The sequence below is a fragment of the Homo sapiens genome, chromosome 17, assembly GCF_000001405.40.
Source record: "Homo sapiens chromosome 17, GRCh38.p14 Primary Assembly".
Taxonomy (NCBI): domain Eukaryota; kingdom Metazoa; phylum Chordata; class Mammalia; order Primates; family Hominidae; genus Homo; species Homo sapiens.
In genome coordinates, this window is record NC_000017.11 from 40,285,845 (window position 1) to 40,305,413 (window position 19,569).

Consider the following 19,569-nt stretch of genomic DNA (forward strand, 5'->3'; position numbering starts at 1 on the left):
CTCCCAAAGTGCTGGGATTACAGGCGTGAGCCACCGCACCCAGCCATTTCCTGGTGTTTTCATAGGTTCCAATATGCATGCTAAGTACTCATAGCTTCCTAGGTTGTTTACCATAACCACCCCTTACAGCTGGCTGGGCACACATTACCATTTCAGGTTATTAAGGGCAATTCTTAGGTGCCCATGTTATAAAAATACGAACAGTGAAGGTTGCTTCCTGAGTTCTACTATCCTACTAAGACATCAGAAATACCATCTAGTCCTTTTAAAAGCTTCCACTGTGGCCAAGAGCGGTGGTTCATGCCTGTAATCCCAGCACTGTGGGAGGCTGAGGTGGGTGGATCATGAAGTCAGGAGTTTGAGACCAACCTGGCCAACATGGTGAAACCCCTCTACTAAAAATTCAAATATTAGCCAGGCGTGGTGACGCGTGCCTGTAGTCCCGGCTACTCAGGAGGCTGAGGCAGGAGAATGGCTTGAACCCAGGTGGTGGAGATTGCAGTGAGCCGAGATCATGGCACGGCACTCAAGCCTGGGTGATAAAATGAGACTTGTCTCAAAAATAAAAAAAAAAAAAGCTTCCATTGTGTGGTAACTTTCTCCATTCATGGCAGCCCATTCTCTTCACTTTTGTAGTTTTCAGCTGCTAAAAAGCCTTCACGAAATGTACTCCACCATCTCTTCCTGTTTAGAACCTGAATCTGTCTAATCATCCCCCTATGATAAAGTGGTCAAGAGTTTGATTTTCTGTCAGAGTTCAGAGTTCAAATTCTAGCTCTTCCACTTACTAGTTGTGTGACCTTGGGCAAGTTTACTCAACTCCCCTCTACTGTAGTTCCCTCATTTGTAAAGTGAAATAACACCAGGTTCATGGGGGTGCTTGTGAAGATTAATAAGGTGATGTAGGTAAAATACTGAGCACAGCCCCTGGCATACACTTAAGCACTCAATATTGGCTCTCTTCATGAACTAGGTACCAATTCACTGATGATCGTAATATTGTTGCTTCCCTCTTTCTAGGCTTTATGGCTCTATTTTGTTTGTTACTGAGGGGTAAAAGATAAATGTTTACCATCACCTAGAATTGGGTTCTGGCCTCTAAAGGAACCTGAGGCTTAGATGAATTATTGGCTTTGGAAGCTGGCCTTCAAATTACTGCGCTAATTTATATTTTTCATTAAAAACTCAGCTTGCCTCTTCTATATAGCTGTCTTCCCTGGCCCTGAAACCCTAGTGTTTCGCCATAAAAGATTTTAAAATTAAGGGGTCATAATTCCCTCCCCATGATGTGTGGATTAATGGTAAGAAGATGCACAGAACATAATATTCTTAGGTTGAACGAAATAAAAGTAAAGAGTTGGCTCTGTTTCTCACCTTTGAAGCACAAATCAAGAGATACTATGATGAAGCATAGTTTTTCTTTATATAGGTGTGTAGAACTTTACCATAAAAATCACTAGTTCAGCCATCAGGAGATCTGGATCCTAGGCTCTTCACTGTCACCAAGATGCTGTGACCTCTAACCTTGTATAGAAGTTTGCTTTGTACTTTGCGAGGTTGAGCATTAGAGAGGTAAGGAAAGTGCCTAGCATCATACCTGGCGCACAGAACCCAAAACGGTAGGTATCATGTAGCAGTTCTGAAAATCTAGCCCATCAGGATGATGCAAATGGGTACTTTAGGCAGTGAGAAGGGGAACCACATCTTGACACTTCCAGTCGAAGGAAGAGTGCGACTGCGCGGCAGCAAAGACTACGCCTCCCAGCGTGCTTTGCGGCGGGCCGGCCCGCTTTACCCAGAGTCGCCCTGCCGCAATCGCGCGTCTTTCCACCGAGGCCCCGGATGTAGATTCCCTCCCCCGTTCAGTGGTCGTGGCCTCACAGCGACTCTAAGACTTGGGGCTCTCTCATTGGCTGTAACTCTTCCACTGGATTGGTAGCAAAAAAAGAGGCGGTGCCCAAGGCGAAAGGCTCTGTGACTACAGCCAATCAGAATCGAGGCCGGGCTTTGGCGGGAGGTGGGAACGCTGTGGCCATTCGGATTTGGCGCGAGCGCGGCTGGAGTTTGCTGCTGCCGCTGTGCAGTTTGTTCAGGGGCTTGTGGTGGTGAGTCCGAGAGGCTGCGTGTGAGAGACGTGAGAAGGATCCTGCACTGAGGAGGTGGAAAGAAGAGGATTGCTCGAGGAGGCCTGGGGTCTGTGAGGCAGCGGAGCTGGGTGAAGGCTGCGGGTTCCGGCGAGGCCTGAGGTGAAGTGAAGGGAAAAGAGCTGAGCTCGCTGGAGGTCTGAGGTCGGGATCAGGGAAAGGGCAGGTGCCCTCGGGGTAGTTCTAGCAGTTATGCGTGGTGTGAAGGAGGTGAAAGTTGTAGGAAGGAAATATTCTGGGGTGCGTTGAGAGCTGCCTAGAATGAGGACTGAGTGCAGGGGCGGAAAGAACTGAGGGAAGACTGAGCTGCAGTGTGAGGGCTTGGGATAGAAGAGACTAAATGTGGCGGGTGCTGGGCTGAACTGGTGATAAAGACACCCCGCGTGCCTGGAGGGAGGAAACTAGAAGTTCTATATAAATCAATTCATGTAACTTTTTTTTTTTTTTGAGACGGAGTCTCGCTCTTGTCGCCCAGGCTGTAGTGCAGTGGTGCGATCTCGGCTCACTGCAACCTCTGCCTGCCGGGTTCAAGCCATTCTCCTGCCTCAGCCTCTTCATGTAGCTGGGACTACAGGCGCCCGCCACCACGTCCGGCTAATTTTTTTTTTTTTTTTGAGACGGAGTCTCGCTCGGTCTCCCAGGCTGGAGTGCAGTGGCGCGATCTCGGCTCACTGCAAGCTCCGCCTCCCGGGTTCATGCCATTCTCCTGCCTCAGCCTCCCGAGTAGCTGGGACTACAGGCGCCCACCACCACGCCCGGCTAATTTTTTGCATTTTTAGTAGAGACGGGGTTTCACCGTGTTAGCCAGGATGGTCTCGGCCCGTCTCGGCCTCCCAAAGTGTTGGGATTACAGGCGTGAGCCACCGCGTTTGGCCGTAATTTTTGTATTTTTAGTAGAGACGGGGTTTCTCCATGTTGGTCAGGCTGGTCTCGAACTCCTGACCTCAGGTGATCCGCCCGCCTCAGCCTCCCAAAGTGCTGGGATTACAGGCGTGGGCCACCGCGCCCGGCCCATTTCAGGTAACTTGTTATTGCATCGCTCAATTGGTTAAGAACTTGGGCTCTGGCACCAGATGCCCGGGGTTACATTCCTGTTTTTCTGTGACTTTGGGCCACTGTTTATCTCAGTTTTCTCATGTGTAAAATAAAGGCTAATAATAGTACCTACTCCTAAGATCGTTGTTAAACGAGTTGGTACCTAAAGTGTTTATAACAGCGCCCTTCCACGTAGTAGGTAGACAACAAATGTCAGCTGTTCTTGCATAGATTTGGATGTGAAGCAAAAGTGAATGCTAAAATAAGTGTGATAACATAATTAGGAAATAAGTGTTAATCATCAGTATAAATAAATTCCATGTTAGTTATTTTCTCTTCACTTTCACATATTGACTAGTTGTCCTCTTATTTTTTTTAATCTAGCTGTGCTGTCGTCATGCCTCAAACCCGATCCCAGGCACAGGCTACAATCAGTTTTCCAAAAAGGAAGCTGTCTCGGGCATTGAACAAAGCTAAAAACTCCAGTGATGCCAAACTAGAACCAACAAATGTCCAAACCGTAACCTGTTCTCCTCGTGTAAAAGCCCTGCCTCTCAGCCCCAGGAAACGTCTGGGTAAACCATCCATTATATCACTTTTTCACTAGCAGCTCGTGACCTTTCTTTTCTTGGTAAGATGTGTGTCCTTTGAAGGAGCTTTCTAAGTTCAGTTAAGACTTCTTTTTTTTTTTTTTTTTTTTTTTGAGACAGAGTCTCGCTCCATCTCCCAGGCTGGAGTGCAATAGTGCGATCTTGGCTCACTGCAACCTCCGCCTCCTGGGTTCAAGCGATTCTCCTGCCTCAGCCTCCCAAGTAGCTGGGATTACAGGCGCCCACCACCAAGCCTGGCTAATTTTTTTTTTTTTTTTTTTTGGATTTTTAGTTGAGACAGGGTTTTGCCATATTGGCCAATCTGGTCTCTGAACTCCTGACCTCAGGTGATCCAACTGCCTCGGCCTCCCAAAGTGCTGGGATTATAGGCATGAGCTACCGCTCCTGGCCTAAGACTACTCTTCATTTTAGTTATTTTCAGAATGGTTGCTAAGTGCTTACCGAACTCCAGAGTTAGACACTTACTGAGGTCACTCTGAACTACTTAATAAGTCTGATCTTCAATTCCTTAATACTGAACTTAGTTCTGTCAATGTTTTAAGTTACCTTGTAGTTACATGGTATTATGAAACTTACCTCAATATTTGTGAAATTAAAAGAAACAAAAACGTGACATGATGAATATTTTCCATCCTTTAGGACAGTGATTGGTAATTCTTTCTTGTTTTGGAACATTTATTTTTAAATGGGGGGTAATTTGGTTGTTTCTGGAGACATTTTTGGTTGTTACAGCTGGGGGTTGCTACTGGCATAGTGGGTAGAGGCCAGGGATGCTGCTAGACATTACAATGCACAGGACAGCTCCTTGACAATGAAGAATTATTTGGTCCAAGATGTCAGTGGTGCCAAGGTTGAGAAAACCTGTTTCAAAATAGCCTTACAATTTCATCCTACTAAAACCCATTTGGTTTCTACTAAATGCAGTAGTCCCCACTTATCCATGGGGGATACATTCCAAGACCCCCAGTGGACGCCTGCAATCGAGGACAGTACCAAACCCTACATATACTGTGTTTTTGATTTGATAACCAAGTCAGCTACTAAGTGACTAGTGGGTGGATAGCATATACAGTGTGGATATGCTGGCTGAAGGGATGATTCATGTCTTGGGTAGGATGGTGCGGGATTTCATCATGGCACTCCACAGCATGCAATTTAAAACTTGTCAATTGTTTATTTCTGGAATTTTCCATTTAGTATTTTCAGACTGAGGGTAACTAGAACGGTGGATGAAGGGACTACTGTAGTAAGATCAGTGGTGCCATCTGGTGACCAATATTTGCTGCTAAGTGAGAAGGCATTTTATTTTGGTGGTTCTGACTAAGGTAGAAATTCACCTCTTTCTGGAAGAGGCAGAGGTCTTGCACATCCTTTTACTATCCAATGCTATGAGTGACTACATTTTTATTTTATTGTGTTTCAGGCGATGACAACCTATGCAACACTCCCCATTTACCTCCTTGTTCTCCACCAAAGCAAGGCAAGAAAGAGAATGGTCCCCCTCACTCACATACACTTAAGGGACGAAGATTGGTATTTGACAATCAGCTGACAATTAAGTCTCCTAGCAAAAGAGAACTAGCCAAAGTTCACCAAAACAAAATACTTTCTTCAGTTAGAAAAAGTCAAGAGATCACAACAAATTCTGAGCAGAGATGTCCACTGAAGAAAGAATCTGCATGTGTGAGACTATTCAAGCAAGAAGGTTTGTTCTTACATGGCAACTGTTAGTGCAGCCATTGTAACCAAGGCTGATGACTCCAAATGAAACCACCCACTGGGTCTTCTCATTCACCTTCTGTTGTGTCTAATTGACCTTTTATGTCTGGCACAGGCACTTGCTACCAGCAAGCAAAGCTGGTCCTGAACACAGCTGTCCCAGATCGGCTGCCTGCCAGGGAAAGGGAGATGGATGTCATCAGGAATTTCTTGAGGGAACACATCTGTGGGAAAAAAGCTGGAAGCCTTTACCTTTCTGGTGCTCCTGGAACTGGAAAAACTGCCTGCTTAAGCCGGATTCTGCAAGACCTCAAGGTACATTGAGAGTCTGAATTATGATACTCTTGGTAAAATGATACTTGGGTGTTTTTGTTTGTTTGTTTGTTTTGTTTTGTTTTGTTTTGTTTTTTGAGACGGAGTCTCGCTCTGTCGCCTAGGCTGTAGTGCAGTGGCGCGATCTCGGCTCACTGCAAGCTCTGCCTCCCAGGTTCACGCCATTCTCCTGCCTCAGCCTCCCGAGTAGCTGGGACTACAGGCGCCCGCCACCATGCCCAGCTAATGTTTTTTGTATTTTTAGTAGAGACGGGGTGTCACTGTGTTAGCCAGGATGGTCTCGATCTCCTCACCTCATGGTCCGCCCTTGTTGGCCTCCCAAAGTGTTGGGATTACAGGTGTGAGCCACCGCACCTGGCCTGTTTTGTTTTTGAAACAGGGTCTCTGTTGTCCAGGCTGGAGTGCAGTGTTGTGATCTCAGCTCACTGCAGCCTTGACCTCTTGGGCTCAGGTGATCCTCCCACCTCGGCCTCCTGGATAGCTGGGAATACTGGCACTCACCACTACACCCAGCTAATTTTTTGTAGAGACAGGGTTTCACCATGTTGCCCAGACTTGTCCTGAACTCCTGAGCTCAAGTAATCTGCCTGCTTCAGCCTCCCAAAGTGCTGGGATTACAGGTGTAAGCCACTGTGCCTGGCTGGCACTTAGTTAAGAAAGAGGGCTAGGCACGGTGGCTCACACCTGTAATCCCAGCACTTTGGGAGGCTGAGGTGGGTGGATCACCTAAGGTCAGGAGTTTGAGACCACCCTGGTCAACATGGTGAAACCCTGTCTCTACTAATAATACAAAAAAAAATTAGCCGGGCATGGTGGCAGGTGCCTATAATCCCAGCTACTCGGGAGGCTGAGGCAGGAGGATCACTTGAACTCGGGAAGCAGAGGTTGCAGTGAGCTGAGATCGCGCTACTGTACTCCAGCCTGGGTGACAGAGTGAGACTCTGTCTCAAAAGAAAAAGAAGGCTGGGCATGGTGGCTCACGCCTATAATCCCAGCACTTTGGGAGGCCGAGGCGGGCGGATCATGAGGTTAGGAGATTGAGACCATCCTGACTAACACAGTGAAACCCCGTCTCTACTAAAAATACAAAAAAAATTAGCCAGGCGTGGTGGCGAGTGCCTGTAGTTCCAGCTACTCGGGAGGCTGAGGCAGGAGAATGGCGTGAACCCACAGGTGGAGCTTGCAGTGAGCCGAGATCGCGCCACTGCACTCCAGCATGGGCGACAGAGCAAGACTCCGTCTCAAAAAAAAAAAGAGTTAAGAAAGAGTAGGCCTGGTGCGGTGGCTCACACCTGTAATTCCAACACTTTGGGAGGCTGAGGCAGGTGGATCACCTGAGGTCAGGAGTTCAAGACCAGCCTGGCCAATGTGGCGAAACCCCATCTCTACTAAAAATATAAAAATTAGCTGGGTGTGGTGGTGCATCCTTGTAATCCCAGCTACTTGGGAGGCTGAGGCAGGAGAATCACTTCAACCCGGGAGGCAGAGGTTGCAATGAGTTGAGATTGTGGCATTGCATTTCAGCCTGGGCAACAGAGTGAGACTCCGTCTCAAAGAAAAAAAAAAGAAAGAAAGAAAAGAAAGAGTAGAAGTTTAGAAGATTGAGGGTTTCTTCAAAATAAAACATTTGTAATTTCATTGTTTAAATCTTTCCAAATGAAAGTAGAGCTTCCTTACGTGCTGTTAGCTCTTCAAAGACATTTTAGGCTCTATCAGATCTTTATTTTCTGAGGCCAAAATAACTCCCATATTTGCATTTTTTTTTCCAGAAGGAACTGAAAGGCTTTAAAACTATCATGCTGAATTGCATGTCCTTGAGGACTGCCCAGGCTGTATTCCCAGCTATTGCTCAGGAGATTTGTCAGGAAGAGGTATCCAGGCCAGCTGGGAAGGACATGATGAGGAAATTGGAAAAACATATGACTGCAGAGAAGGGCCCCATGATGTAAGTATTGTTCTGCTTCATGTTGCTCTGTGAAAATCTGCAAGGTCTGTTGCCCATAAAAAGTACATTTTGTATATTTTCTCTCTGAAGGATAGTTACATAAACTTAAAGGGAAAGAAGAGAAGGAAGATACACCTAATTTTAAATTGGATTACTTATAGATGATGTGGGGTATCCTTGTAGCAGTAACTAGAGATAGGTTAGATTATGATCTTTAAACTGGTCTCAGCTTTAGGAAAGTGACCTGAAGTCAGCCTATATCAAACATTAGAGGGTTAAGAAGGTGAATATGGATACTAACTGTTTCTCTTTTTATAGTGTGTTGGTATTGGACGAGATGGATCAACTGGACAGCAAAGGCCAGGATGTATTGTACACGCTATTTGAATGGCCATGGCTAAGCAATTCTCACTTGGTGCTGATTGGTTAGTGCTCAATTGTTAATGTTACATGGTGGTTCTAAAGTATTTTTTAAGAATATATATTCAGCTTATTTATCAGCTATTTTATCTTAAACCAGCTTTCTGCCGTGTCAAAATAAGAAAGTTAAATGACTATGTACATCTTACCTAATAGATACATCTTATCTATTGGGATGGGGTAGGAGACAAGTGGCAAGCAACAATTAGAATGCTAGATTCTATAACTGGAGATTTATTTAGCTTTCAGAAGATTTAGTTTTCCCTTTAGGATAATTTGACCAATGATCAATGTTGTTGATCTCCTCCTTAGGTATTGCTAATACCCTGGATCTCACAGATAGAATTCTACCTAGGCTTCAAGCTAGAGAAAAATGTAAGCCACAGCTGTTGAACTTCCCACCTTATACCAGAAATCAGATAGTCACTATTTTGCAAGATCGACTTAATCAGGTCAGTGCCAACTATTTTGCCAAATTATGTGTTCCTTGGATCACCTGTGCTAGGAAAATTTAACAATAGTTCTAAAATATTTTTGCCTTGATTGCTTTATTAATGGAGCAAGGAGTTCCTATGGACCATAGTGAGAACATTTTTATGTGAATTTCAGCTTCATTCATTTACTGGGTGTCTCAGTGTTGAAATAAAAGCAGGAGTTAGAGGAATCACCCAAGCGCTTTTTTTTTTTTTTTTAGATGAGTTTTGCTCTTATCGCCCAGGCTGGAGTGCAATGGCGTGATCTCGGCTCTCTACAGCCTCTGCCTCACGGGTTCAAGCGATTCTCCTGCCTCAGCCTCCCCAGTAGCTAGGACTACAGGCACCTGCCACCACGCCCAGCTAATTGTTGTATTTTTAGTAGAGCTGGGGTTTCACCGTCTTGGCCAGGCTGGTCTCGAACTCCTAACCTCAGGTGATATGCCTGTCTCGGCCTCTCAAAGTGCTGGGATTACAGGCATGAGCCATCGCACCCAGCCTCAAGTGCTTTCTTTAATGACCTTTAAAAAATAGGGCCTATGAAAAAACTTTTTCTGTTGAAAATGACTAAATAGATTTTTTATTTTTGCTAATTTCAGTTCTGATTGCTTTTTTCCATTTATGAACTTCTACTGCATCCGTACAAAAAGCTTAAATGTGTGAAAACTCTCAAACGTCTCCATTATTTATGAGAAGAAAAGGCATCTTTTTAACCCTAAAGAGTTGCCAATCAAGTTTAGGGTTAAATGTGAAAATATTTATGCTTGGGACCTAAATTACAGAGGGAGAATCTTATGGTTCAAACTGTCATCTTCTATGTCTTGTCTGAAGGTATCTAGAGATCAGGTTCTGGACAATGCTGCAGTTCAATTCTGTGCCCGCAAAGTCTCTGCTGTTTCAGGAGATGTTCGCAAAGCACTGGATGTTTGCAGGTGAGTTACGGCTCTGTTGCATTCTTTTATTAAAAAAAAAAAAAAAGAAATGCTGTTAATTGTCTCATGTAACTCAAGTGAATGTGGCTTAAGAGGCTCTGTTCTGCTACTTTTTTACGCTCAGAAAGGAGGACTTGTTTCTCAGTGGGGAGCTCTGGATTTCCACCGTGTTAATGTCTGAAACATTATCAGTCCATTACCTACAGAGGGAGAAACAAATGAGATGTTGCTGGCACTCCCTGTGGTGATTATAGATTGGTTAATTACATTTGTATTAAAAAAGACTCCAGTTTACTTTTCCATTAGCTGGTCTCAAGCAGGTTTATTTATGGACCTGAACCGTCTTTGCCTTTAGACTTGTTCCCCTTCCTTTCCTTTTGTGAGCACCCCTTCTTCCCTTCAGTTGGTGGTCCCCCACAGTTGTACTCCAGACCTCTTTCTCCCTTCCCATCCTCCTGCCCCTCCTGCTGGGGAAAGCCTCTGTGCCGACTGATGAAATTTCTTCCTTCCCAGTAGGGACACTGGGTCCATTAAAATGATACTTGCTGTGCTGGCCTGCTGGTCCAACCTCCCCCTATTGCTATGCAGAAGACCCAGGTCTGGCTTATGGCTTCCTGTGGGCAAGTACTTTGGAGAGAGCAGTGGGAGAGTAAGCTCTTCCTATTGCTAGATTGCATGATCCTGAATTTGAAAGTTTCCCCTAATCAGCAAACTACTTGGGTAAAGACTGCAACTATGAGCAATAGTCATGTAGGCTAGCGTGGTTTAGCCTACACATATCCTATGTATATATAACTGAAGATATCCCTTTTAGGTTTGGTGTGTATGGGTGATGCTGACTCCCTTTAGTCAGTCACCCACACTACATATCCTCTCTCCTACCCATGACATTTTCTCCTCATCCAAAATGTTATCATTGGCTTAATGTATGATGACCTACTTGGCATCCATTAGGAGGAAACCATTGAAGTTTCTCAAATCTGATGTCCATGAATTATTTCAAAGCAATTAAGTCCCCTTATCTGAGAAATAACCCAGTTTTGTTTGGGGGCTTTAAAATTATAAAACATCATAATTTTAAAGTTACACGTAGGATATGTGTAGGCTAAACCATGTTAGCCTACATGACCATTGTTCATAGTTGCAGTCTTTGAGCAATGGTCATTAATGTGCCGCTTTTGAGGCTGGTGGTTTGGTGTGTTTGGTTTGGCTCAGACTAAATTAATTTTAGAAATTTTTTTTATAGGAGAGCTATTGAAATTGTAGAGTCAGATGTCAAAAGCCAGACTATTCTCAAACCACTGTCTGAATGTAAGTAGTTTATCTCCTTCCTGTCTTCCTTTGTAACTAGAAGCTTAGCTTTTCTGAGGAAAGAGGTAGAAAGATGAAATGAACATAGTTAAATCCAAACTCACCCATTTTTATGTGTGTCTGTGTTTTTAGTCCGTTTCGTCTACTTTATTTCAATCTTGCCTGCCAGTACTATAGTTCGTGCATTACTGGAAATGAGTTCCCAGGGTATTGATTGCGTAAATGGCTGGGACAGAGTAAGTTTTTTTTCCAAGCTCTGGAAATGAAACTTGTAGACAATGAGGTTGGATCAGCTCTCTGGGTGCTTATGTTGCGTGCACTTTAGGTCTCAATATAGGTGAAAGCAAAGCCTGATAAATAAGGGAGAATTGGGTAAAAGAATTGTGAAGCCAGGTGCGGTGGTTCACACCTGTAATCCCAGCACTTTGGGAGGCCAAGGCGGGAGGATCGCTTGAGCCCAGGATTGTGAGACCAGCCTGGGCAATATAGTGAGACCTTGTTTCTACAAAAAATTTTAAAAATTTTGCAGCCATTAAAAATATGAGTTCATATCCTTTTTAGGGACATGGATTAAGCTGGAAACCATCATTCTCAGCAAAGTAACACAGGAACAGAAAACCAAACACCACATGTTCTCACTCATAAGTGGGAGTTGAACAATGAGAACACATGGACACAGGGAGGGGAACATCACACACCGGAGGCTGTTGGGGGTGGAGGCCAAAGGGAGGGAGAGCATGCAGGACTTAAAACCTAGATGACAGGTTGATGAGTGCAGCAAGCCACCATGGCACATGTATACCTATGTAACAAACCTGCATGTTCTGCACATGTATCCCAGAACTTAAAAAAAATTAGGCAAGCATGGTGTGTGCCTGTAGTCCTAGCTACTTGGCAGGCTGAGGCAGGAGAATCACTTGAGCTGGAGAGGCAGAAGTTGCAGTGAGCCGAGATGGTGCCACTGCACTGCCAGCCTGGGCAACAGAGCGAGACCCTGTCCCAAAAGAATAATAATAAGAAGAATTATAAGTTCAACTTGGGATATCTCAAGCTTTTAAACAAGTCTAGAGGGTAGAGGTAAAAAGATCATACTGCTACAGTAAGCTGCATGGTATCACAAATGACAAAATTAATATTCCATTCCCTCAGCCTTGTTTTGGTTGTGGCAAATGTAAAATGGCCATGAACTACGTATCTTACAGTATTTGATATCCAGTGTTAGTCTTTATAAACAGAATAGTAAGATTTGATTGTTTCTTTTTCACTCCTACACTGGCTGGGAGTTTAAGTAAAATTGTTTCTGGCATTATAGTTCTGCATGAAATTCTTTCTTTTTTTCATCAATTTGCTAAAATAAAATAATTAAAAATGTTTCAGAAGTAGCCAAAAATAGTGCTTAGGCTAATAGTAGGCAATATATACCAATGTATAGACTTAGATACTGGTTTCTTCCTCCTTTTCAACTTTTCAGATTATCCCCTTTTCCTCCTCCTTTTTCCCCATCAGTAACATTTAGGCTTGTCACTGGCCCCTGTGAGCACCACTAACACAAACATAATTCAAAAAGGTAAAGAGGTTGTAAGTTCTATCTTTTGACTTCTGGTTTGTGCGGGATTGGCTTTTTTCTTTCTTTTTTTTTTTTCTTTTTGTGTAAAACAAGGTCTTGCTTTGTCTCCCAGGCTGGAGTCCAGTGGTGCAATTATGGCTGGTGCGATCATGGCTCACTGCAGCTGCAACCTCCCAGGCCCAAGCAGTCCTCTCACCTCAGCCTCCCCAGCTCCAGCTACTGCTAATTTTAAAATTTTTGTAGAGTCAGTGGGTGGAGGAGTCTCCTTATGTTGCCCAGGCTGGTCTCAAACTCCTGGGATAAAGTGATTCTCCTGCCTCAGCCTCCCACAGCTTTGGAATTACAGGCATGAGCCACCATACCAGGTTGAGATTGGCTTTCAAGGGCTCCAGAAAGCTATAGGGAGAATGACTTTAACTAAATATAAGAAGAAAATTTATAATAACTAGAACTAACTGGGCTTCCTTGAAACATAGTGGGTTCTCCAGCATTGAAGATATTCAGACAAAAGCTGGATAGATGCCACTTGTTGAGATTGTTCTAGAGAGGACTCGGCCAGTGGATAGGGAGTAAAAATAGACTTCTAAATTCCTTTCAATTTTAAGATTCTTTTACTTGATCTGTGATCTCCGGTTTCTCCATTAGTCCTCTGCAGCATCCCTTTGTGGTAATGTAATATTATAGAAGTAAATTGTTGTGGGGCAACTGCAAGTGATTTCAGGAAGTAACTTCAGGTAAAGGTTGTTACAGAACACATTTCTTTGTCTTGGAATTCATGCATCTCCAAACGATAAGGCCATAGTCTTTTTTTTTTTTTTTTTTTTTTTTTTTTGAGACAGGGTCTCGCTCTGTCACCAGGCTGGAGTGCAGTGGCGTGATCTTGGCTCAATGCAACCTCCTCCTCCCAGGCTCAAGCCATCCTCCCACCCCAGCCTCCTGAGTAGCTGGGACCACAGGCACACACCACCACACCCGGCTGTTTTTTTTGTATTTTTAGTAGCGATGGGGGAAACCCATCGCCTTGTTGCACAGGCTGGTCATGAATTCCTGAGCTCAAGCCATTAGTTATTTTTCCTGATCCTCTCCCTCCACCCTCCTATAGGCCCCAGTGTGTGTTGTCCCCACTATGTGTCTATGTGTTCTCATCATTTAGCTCCCACTTAGAAGTGAGAACATGTGGTATTTGGTTTTCTGTTCCTACAGTAGTTTGCTAAGGATATAGTCTTATGAAGCTTATTGGCAGTTTCCCAACCCCTGGCTTTTATTAAGATGATGATATCTGGCCAGGCATGGTGGCTTACGCCCATAATCCCAGTGCTTTGGGAGGCCGAGGAGGGCAGATTGCTTTGAGCTAAGGAGTTCAAGACCAGCCTGGGCAACATGATGAAACCCCATCTCTACAAAAAATACCAAAAAGAAAAAAAAAAAAAAAAAGATGGTGCTATCTGCTAGCATATCCAATGACATTTTCTCAAGTGTTGCTCTACTGCTAATCAGCTTGGGCAAGTGAACCAAACCTCAAAGGTCATTTGGGGAAGCCATCTGAAGGGCTGACATGGCAGCGACTTCACTCTCCACATTTAGCCACTCATTTGATCCAAAATATTCGGTAATTTTCCAACTTTTTTTTCCCTTTCTTTTTTTTTTATATGGAGTTTCACTCTTGTCGTCCAGGCTGGAGTGCAGTGGCACAATCTTGGCTCACTGCACCTCTGCCTCCCGGGTTCAAGTGATTCTTCTGCCTCAACCTCCCAAGTAGCTGGGATTACAGGCGCCTGCCACCACATCCAGCTAATTTTTTGTATTTTTAGTAGAGATGGAGTTTCGCCGTGTTGGGCAGGCTGGTCTCCAACTCCTGACCTCAGGTGATCTGCCCGCCTTGATCTCCCAAAGTGCTGGGATTACAGGCGTGAGCCACTGCACCTGGCCTTTTTTTTCCTTTCTTAATTACCAAGCACAGTCACCATCTTTGCTTCAAGGTTCTGTTATTCTATACCTCTGAGATACTAGGAACTAGCCTGGCATGGTGGCACGTACCTGTAATCCTAGCTACACAGGAGGCTGAGGCAGGAGGATCACTTGAACCCAGGAAGCCAAGGCTGCAGTGAGCCATGATAGTGCCACTGTACTCCAGCCTGAGTGACAGAGATCCTGTCCCAAAAAAAAATACAGTAGTTCTCTGGTCCTTTCATGAGGTGGGTTTTGTTCCTCTGACATTAAATTACATTCCATAGGACAAAACAGCTCACTATTTGGCCCAGAGAAAGGGTAACCCTACTTTTCAAGTCATCCCACATTATTTTGACATCCTTAAGAGAATAGCATTATCTCTCATCCTTTGGCCTCTGGTTAGAGATTTAAAACCTCTGCTTTGCCACCATGTGACTATACTTGAATTTCCTTTAGCTCAAACTTAGTATCATCTGTCTCATCATACATACACACACACAGTATTTTAGAAATCGAATTAAGCTTGGCTTATTTACTTTATAGGTAAATCACCTTCTGAGCCTCTGATTCCCAAGAGGGTTGGTCTTATTCACATATCCCAAGTCATCTCAGAAGTTGATGGTAACAGGATGACCTTGAGCCAAGAAGGAGCACAAGATTCCTTCCCTCTTCAGCAGAAGATCTTGGTTTGCTCTTTGATGCTCTTGATCAGGCAGTTGAAAATCAAAGAGGTCACTCTGGGGAAGGTAAGTTGGGATGGAGCAGATGGAACGGAGGTAGAGATCAGAATCTGCTTTGCAGAGCAGGTATTTTCCAAAAGGCCTATGATACTTCAGCTGATAATAAATTTAAAATGGATTTTAACAGTAAGAATTAATACTGGTACTATATAAAAGGCACCTATTTCCCTTGGATTGTGGTTGAGAGTTTATCATTAATCCTTTCCCTATCCTCCCCTTCATTTCTGCATCTCTCTAGGAAATATATAAAGCCCCTTTCCTACATTACTGTATAGGTTTTCGGGAATATCTACAGAAGCCTGTTCAAAGATTTTATTGAAAAGAGGAAGAAATAGGGTATTCAGATAAGTTTTTGCAAACCCAGACTCAGGTTTCTTAAATGATTAAAGGCTATAAGCAATGTGACTTTTAAGCAGCGTTTGTTCTCCCTTGTTTCCTACCAGTTATATGAAGCCTACAGTAAAGTCTGTCGCAAACAGCAGGTGGCGGCTGTGGACCAGTCAGAGTGTTTGTCACTTTCAGGGCTCTTGGAAGCCAGGGGCATTTTAGGATTAAAGAGAAACAAGGAAACCCGTTTGACAAAGGTACAACTGCTTTTTTGTGACAGTGTTTTTAATTGTCCTATTTTGTAGAGTGATGCTAAAGTAAAGGTTTATTGTTAAACAAGATGACCACAGTTAGTTAAACAAGTCGTTTTTTGTTAGGTAAGGTTTAAGGTGTGTAAAGATGGGAGTGTGATATGAATATTTTTTCAAGCCATTGGAAAAAAAAGTGTTTAACTTGCTTGCCTTTTGTGAGAAAAAGTTTAATATGGTAGAAGTTTGTATACTGACAACTTTGCTTTTGTGAGTTCCCCAGTGTGAAAAATCCTTTTCTCTTCTTTCCAGGTGTTTTTCAAGATTGAAGAGAAAGAAATAGAACATGCTCTGAAAGATAAAGCTTTAATTGGAAATATCTTAGCTACTGGATTGCCTTAAATTCTTCTCTTACACCCCACCCGAAAGTATTCAGCTGGCATTTAGAGAGCTACAGTCTTCATTTTAGTGCTTTACACATTCGGGCCTGAAAACAAATATGACCTTTTTTACTTGAAGCCAATGAATTTTAATCTATAGATTCTTTAATATTAGCACAGAATAATATCTTTGGGTCTTACTATTTTTACCCATAAAAGTGACCAGGTAGACCCTTTTTAATTACATTCACTACTTCTACCACTTGTGTATCTCTAGCCAATGTGCTTGCAAGTGTACAGATCTGTGTAGAGGAATGTGTGTATATTTACCTCTTCGTTTGCTCAAACATGAGTGGGTATTTTTTTGTTTGTTTTTTTTGTTGTTGTTGTTTTTGAGGCGCGTCTCACCCTGTTGCCCAGGCTGGAGTGCAATGGCGCGTTCTCTGCTCACTACAGCACCCGCTTCCCAGGTTGAAGTGATTCTCTTGCCTCAGCCTCCCGAGTAGCTGGGATTACAGGTGCCCACCACCGCGCCCAGCTAATTTTTTAATTTTTAGTAGAGACAGGGTTTTACCATGTTGGCCAGGCTGGTCTTGAACTCCTGACCCTCAAGTGATCTGCCCACCTTGGCCTCCCTAAGTGCTGGGATTATAGGCGTGAGCCACCATGCTCAGCCATTAAGGTATTTTGTTAAGAACTTTAAGTTTAGGGTAAGAAGAATGAAAATGATCCAGAAAAATGCAAGCAAGTCCACATGGAGATTTGGAGGACACTGGTTAAAGAATTTATTTCTTTGTATAGTATACTATGTTCATGGTGCAGATACTACAACATTGTGGCATTTTAGACTCGTTGAGTTTCTTGGGCACTCCCAAGGGCGTTGGGGTCATAAGGAGACTATAACTCTACAGATTGTGAATATATTTATTTTCAAGTTGCATTCTTTGTCTTTTTAAGCAATCAGATTTCAAGAGAGCTCAAGCTTTCAGAAGTCAATGTGAAAATTCCTTCCTAGGCTGTCCCACAGTCTTTGCTGCCCTTAGATGAAGCCACTTGTTTCAAGATGACTACTTTGGGGTTGGGTTTTCATCTAAACACATTTTTCCAGTCTTATTAGATAAATTAGTCCATATGGTTGGTTAATCAAGAGCCTTCTGGGTTTGGTTTGGTGGCATTAAATGGCAATTTGTGACTGAGACACCAGAGGGCACCCTTATAACATTGACTACTTTGAAAGGGGATGCTTGAGGCTGAGGTAGTTTTGAGGGAAAGGGGGAAGTTCTAGTTTGATTTGTTTGGGAGATTGCTGTCCTTTCATAACTGAAGCAAATGCTTGAAATGTAAACCATGTGTGATACGAATGATCTGAGAGCCAGTGACCAAGTCTGCTTTTCCCTGAGCTCTCCTGCTGCCGCCTCTACCTTTCTGACATGGCCTTCCATTTGGAACTTGATATGTGTACAAGTGATCTGTTGGCCACTGTTTCATTCATCCTGACCACTGTATCCGTGTAATGTGATCTGAGCTACAACAGGTGGTATGGGATAGAGGCAAGGAAAGCAGAGAGAGCCCTCTGAAATGAACACTACCCACTGGTGTGTGTAGCACATGATAGTCTGTAGGCATGAGTCTGAATGTTGTTCTCACACTCCTTTACTAGAGTATTCGTTCCCTCTGAAGGTAGTTTGAACATGGAAACACAGTTCTATACCTAGAAGGTTGGAAAGTGTCTGGGACTATAAGGGTTAACATGCATAATTGCAAAGATTGTCCGAAGGCTGATGGAAAGCAGAGACTGAATGGGATTGAGAACAGATGCGAAGCTTGATTTAAATTACATTTTATTGGATGCTGCAGCCTTAAGAGACGTGACTGCTTTACAGTTTGTTTCCACACTGTGGGCAGCTGCTGTCTGTTCTGTGTCCACAGTAGGATCCTGCCCAATAAGGAGCAGCCTCCCCACCTCATTGTGTTTGAGGCTTGGCGCCTTCCTCTTAACTGTAGGGCTTGAGTCAGGAACATGGCTTGACTCGCAGTGGGGCTGCTATGTATCCTCCCTGGCTTCCAGCCAAAATCACATTGGTAGATTCAAAGGGGCCAAATTTCTTTCCCCTCTATCTTTCCCTTTCCCCTGGTTTTGGAAATAGAGTTTTCTGTCTACTGATTTGTTAGTTTCCTTTTCTTCTCCCCTCACTGTCAATTTCTAGGTCATTGCTGCTCTTAAGACTTTAGCAGTTGGAACAGGGTTGGTTCTGTCAATGATGCATGAAGCAGACTTAGTGTCCCTGCTTGGCTTCTGCTGCCCTTGTGGGAGCAAAAGCTGATATATGTTTGTCAGTAAAGTCTTAAGTGTAATTCAGACTGCTGAGGAAGAAAGCCCTTTCCTTGCTGGCTTTTCTCCCTGAAGCTGAGAGCTTCAGGAAGGTGGTAGGAGTTTTAGTGGGATGGGATGGGATGGGCTTGTGGTTAGCAGTTTTTGCCAGGATCATAGGCTGCTTCACTTAGAGTAGTGGCAAAGATGCTGACCTACATTCTTCCTTTTGAAGGTGATGGAGTGTGTGTCTATATCCTGGTTTATCTCTCTCCCCCACCCCAAGGAAGCTGATTAAGCTTCCATAGAGTGTTGGGTGTTGCCATGGAAAGAGCATAGACAAAATAAATTGTGTGTTTCAACCCCAGAGCTGCCACAGATGTTTCTGGCTCAATGGAGACTTGCCTGTGGCTAGCTAACTCTGCAAGAATGTGTGAGGTCCAGGCTGGGGGTGGTGGCTCACGCCTGTAATCCAGCACTTTGGGAGGCCGAGGCGGGCGGATCACCTGAGGTCAGGAGTTTGAGACCAGTCTGGCCAACATGGCGAAACCCTGTCTCTACTAAAATAAATTAGCCAGGCATTGTGGTGTGTTCCTGTAATTCCAGCTACTGGGAGGCTGAGGCAGGAGAATCGCTTCAACCTGGGAGGCAGAGGTTGCAGTGAGCCGAGATCGTGCCATTGCACTCCAGCTTGGGCAGCAGAATGAGACTGTCTCAAAAAGGAAAAAAAAAAATGCTGGGTGTGATGGCTCATGCCTGTAATCCCAGCACTTTGTGGGGCCAAGGCGGGCTGATCACTTAAGGGTCAGGAGTGCAAGACCAGTCTGGCCAACATGGCGAAACCCTGTCTCTACTAAAAGTACAAAAATTCACTGGGTGCCATGGTACACACCTATAATCACAGCTACTTGGGAGGCTGAGACAGGAGAATTGCTTGAGCCTGGGAGGTGGAGGTTGCAGTGAGATGAGATCATGCCACTGTACTCCAGCCTGGGTGACAGAGTGAGACTCTGTCTCAAAAAAAAAAAAAAAATGTGTGAGGTCTAAGCTACCCAGAGATCAAAAAGTTGGCAGAGCCTTATTCTCTCTGCGCCCCCTCTTTTGCATTGCTCCCTACCTTTAC

General features: G+C 44.1%; 1 protein-coding gene across 4 annotated transcripts, besides 6 other annotated features; it reads left to right on the forward strand.

The window, feature by feature from the left end:
* Positions 1,795-2,602: an enhancer, noted in NCBI's record as "H3K27ac-H3K4me1 hESC enhancer chr17:38443891-38444698 (GRCh37/hg19 assembly coordinates)". NCBI's record gives its function as "activates a minimal SCP1, AML or CMV promoter by ChIP-STARR-seq in primed H9 embryonic stem cells {active_cell/tissue: H9 hESC(primed)}" and the evidence as "EXISTENCE:reporter gene assay evidence [ECO:0000049][PMID:30033119]".
* Positions 1,795-2,650: a biological region, named in NCBI's record as "H3K27ac-H3K4me1 hESC enhancer GRCh37_chr17:38443891-38444698".
* Positions 2,035-18,813, forward strand: CDC6 (cell division cycle 6). 4 transcript variants are annotated; one of them, XM_011525542.2, is made up of 13 exons: positions 2,035-2,288; positions 3,564-3,754; positions 5,214-5,495; positions 5,625-5,824; positions 7,612-7,787; positions 8,106-8,212; positions 8,520-8,659; positions 9,512-9,612; positions 9,737-9,856; positions 10,859-10,923; positions 14,984-15,186; positions 15,624-15,764; positions 16,068-18,813. In XM_011525542.2, exons 2-13 carry the CDS (start codon positions 3,577-3,579, stop codon positions 16,155-16,157), a joined length of 1,803 nt encoding a protein of 600 aa, XP_011523844.1. In that variant the 5' UTR covers positions 2,035-2,288; positions 3,564-3,576; the 3' UTR covers positions 16,158-18,813. The 4 variants fall into 4 exon arrangements, with proteins under 4 accessions (XP_011523844.1, XP_011523843.1, XP_047293163.1 ...); XM_011525541.3 differs by having other exon boundaries at positions 2,035-2,246; XM_047437207.1 differs by lacking the exon at positions 9,737-9,856.
* Positions 2,371-2,550: an enhancer, noted in NCBI's record as "active region_12136". NCBI's record gives its function as "activates an Ori minimal core promoter by ATAC-STARR-seq in GM12878 lymphoblastoid cells {active_cell/tissue: GM12878}" and the evidence as "EXISTENCE:reporter gene assay evidence [ECO:0000049][PMID:35858748]".
* Positions 2,581-2,650: an enhancer, noted in NCBI's record as "active region_12137". NCBI's record gives its function as "activates an Ori minimal core promoter by ATAC-STARR-seq in GM12878 lymphoblastoid cells {active_cell/tissue: GM12878}" and the evidence as "EXISTENCE:reporter gene assay evidence [ECO:0000049][PMID:35858748]".
* Positions 5,560-6,146: an enhancer, noted in NCBI's record as "H3K27ac-H3K4me1 hESC enhancer chr17:38447656-38448242 (GRCh37/hg19 assembly coordinates)". NCBI's record gives its function as "activates a minimal SCP1, AML or CMV promoter by ChIP-STARR-seq in primed H9 embryonic stem cells {active_cell/tissue: H9 hESC(primed)}" and the evidence as "EXISTENCE:reporter gene assay evidence [ECO:0000049][PMID:30033119]".
* Positions 10,049-10,564: an enhancer, noted in NCBI's record as "OCT4-NANOG hESC enhancer chr17:38452145-38452660 (GRCh37/hg19 assembly coordinates)". NCBI's record gives its function as "activates a minimal SCP1, AML or CMV promoter by ChIP-STARR-seq in primed H9 embryonic stem cells {active_cell/tissue: H9 hESC(primed)}" and the evidence as "EXISTENCE:reporter gene assay evidence [ECO:0000049][PMID:30033119]".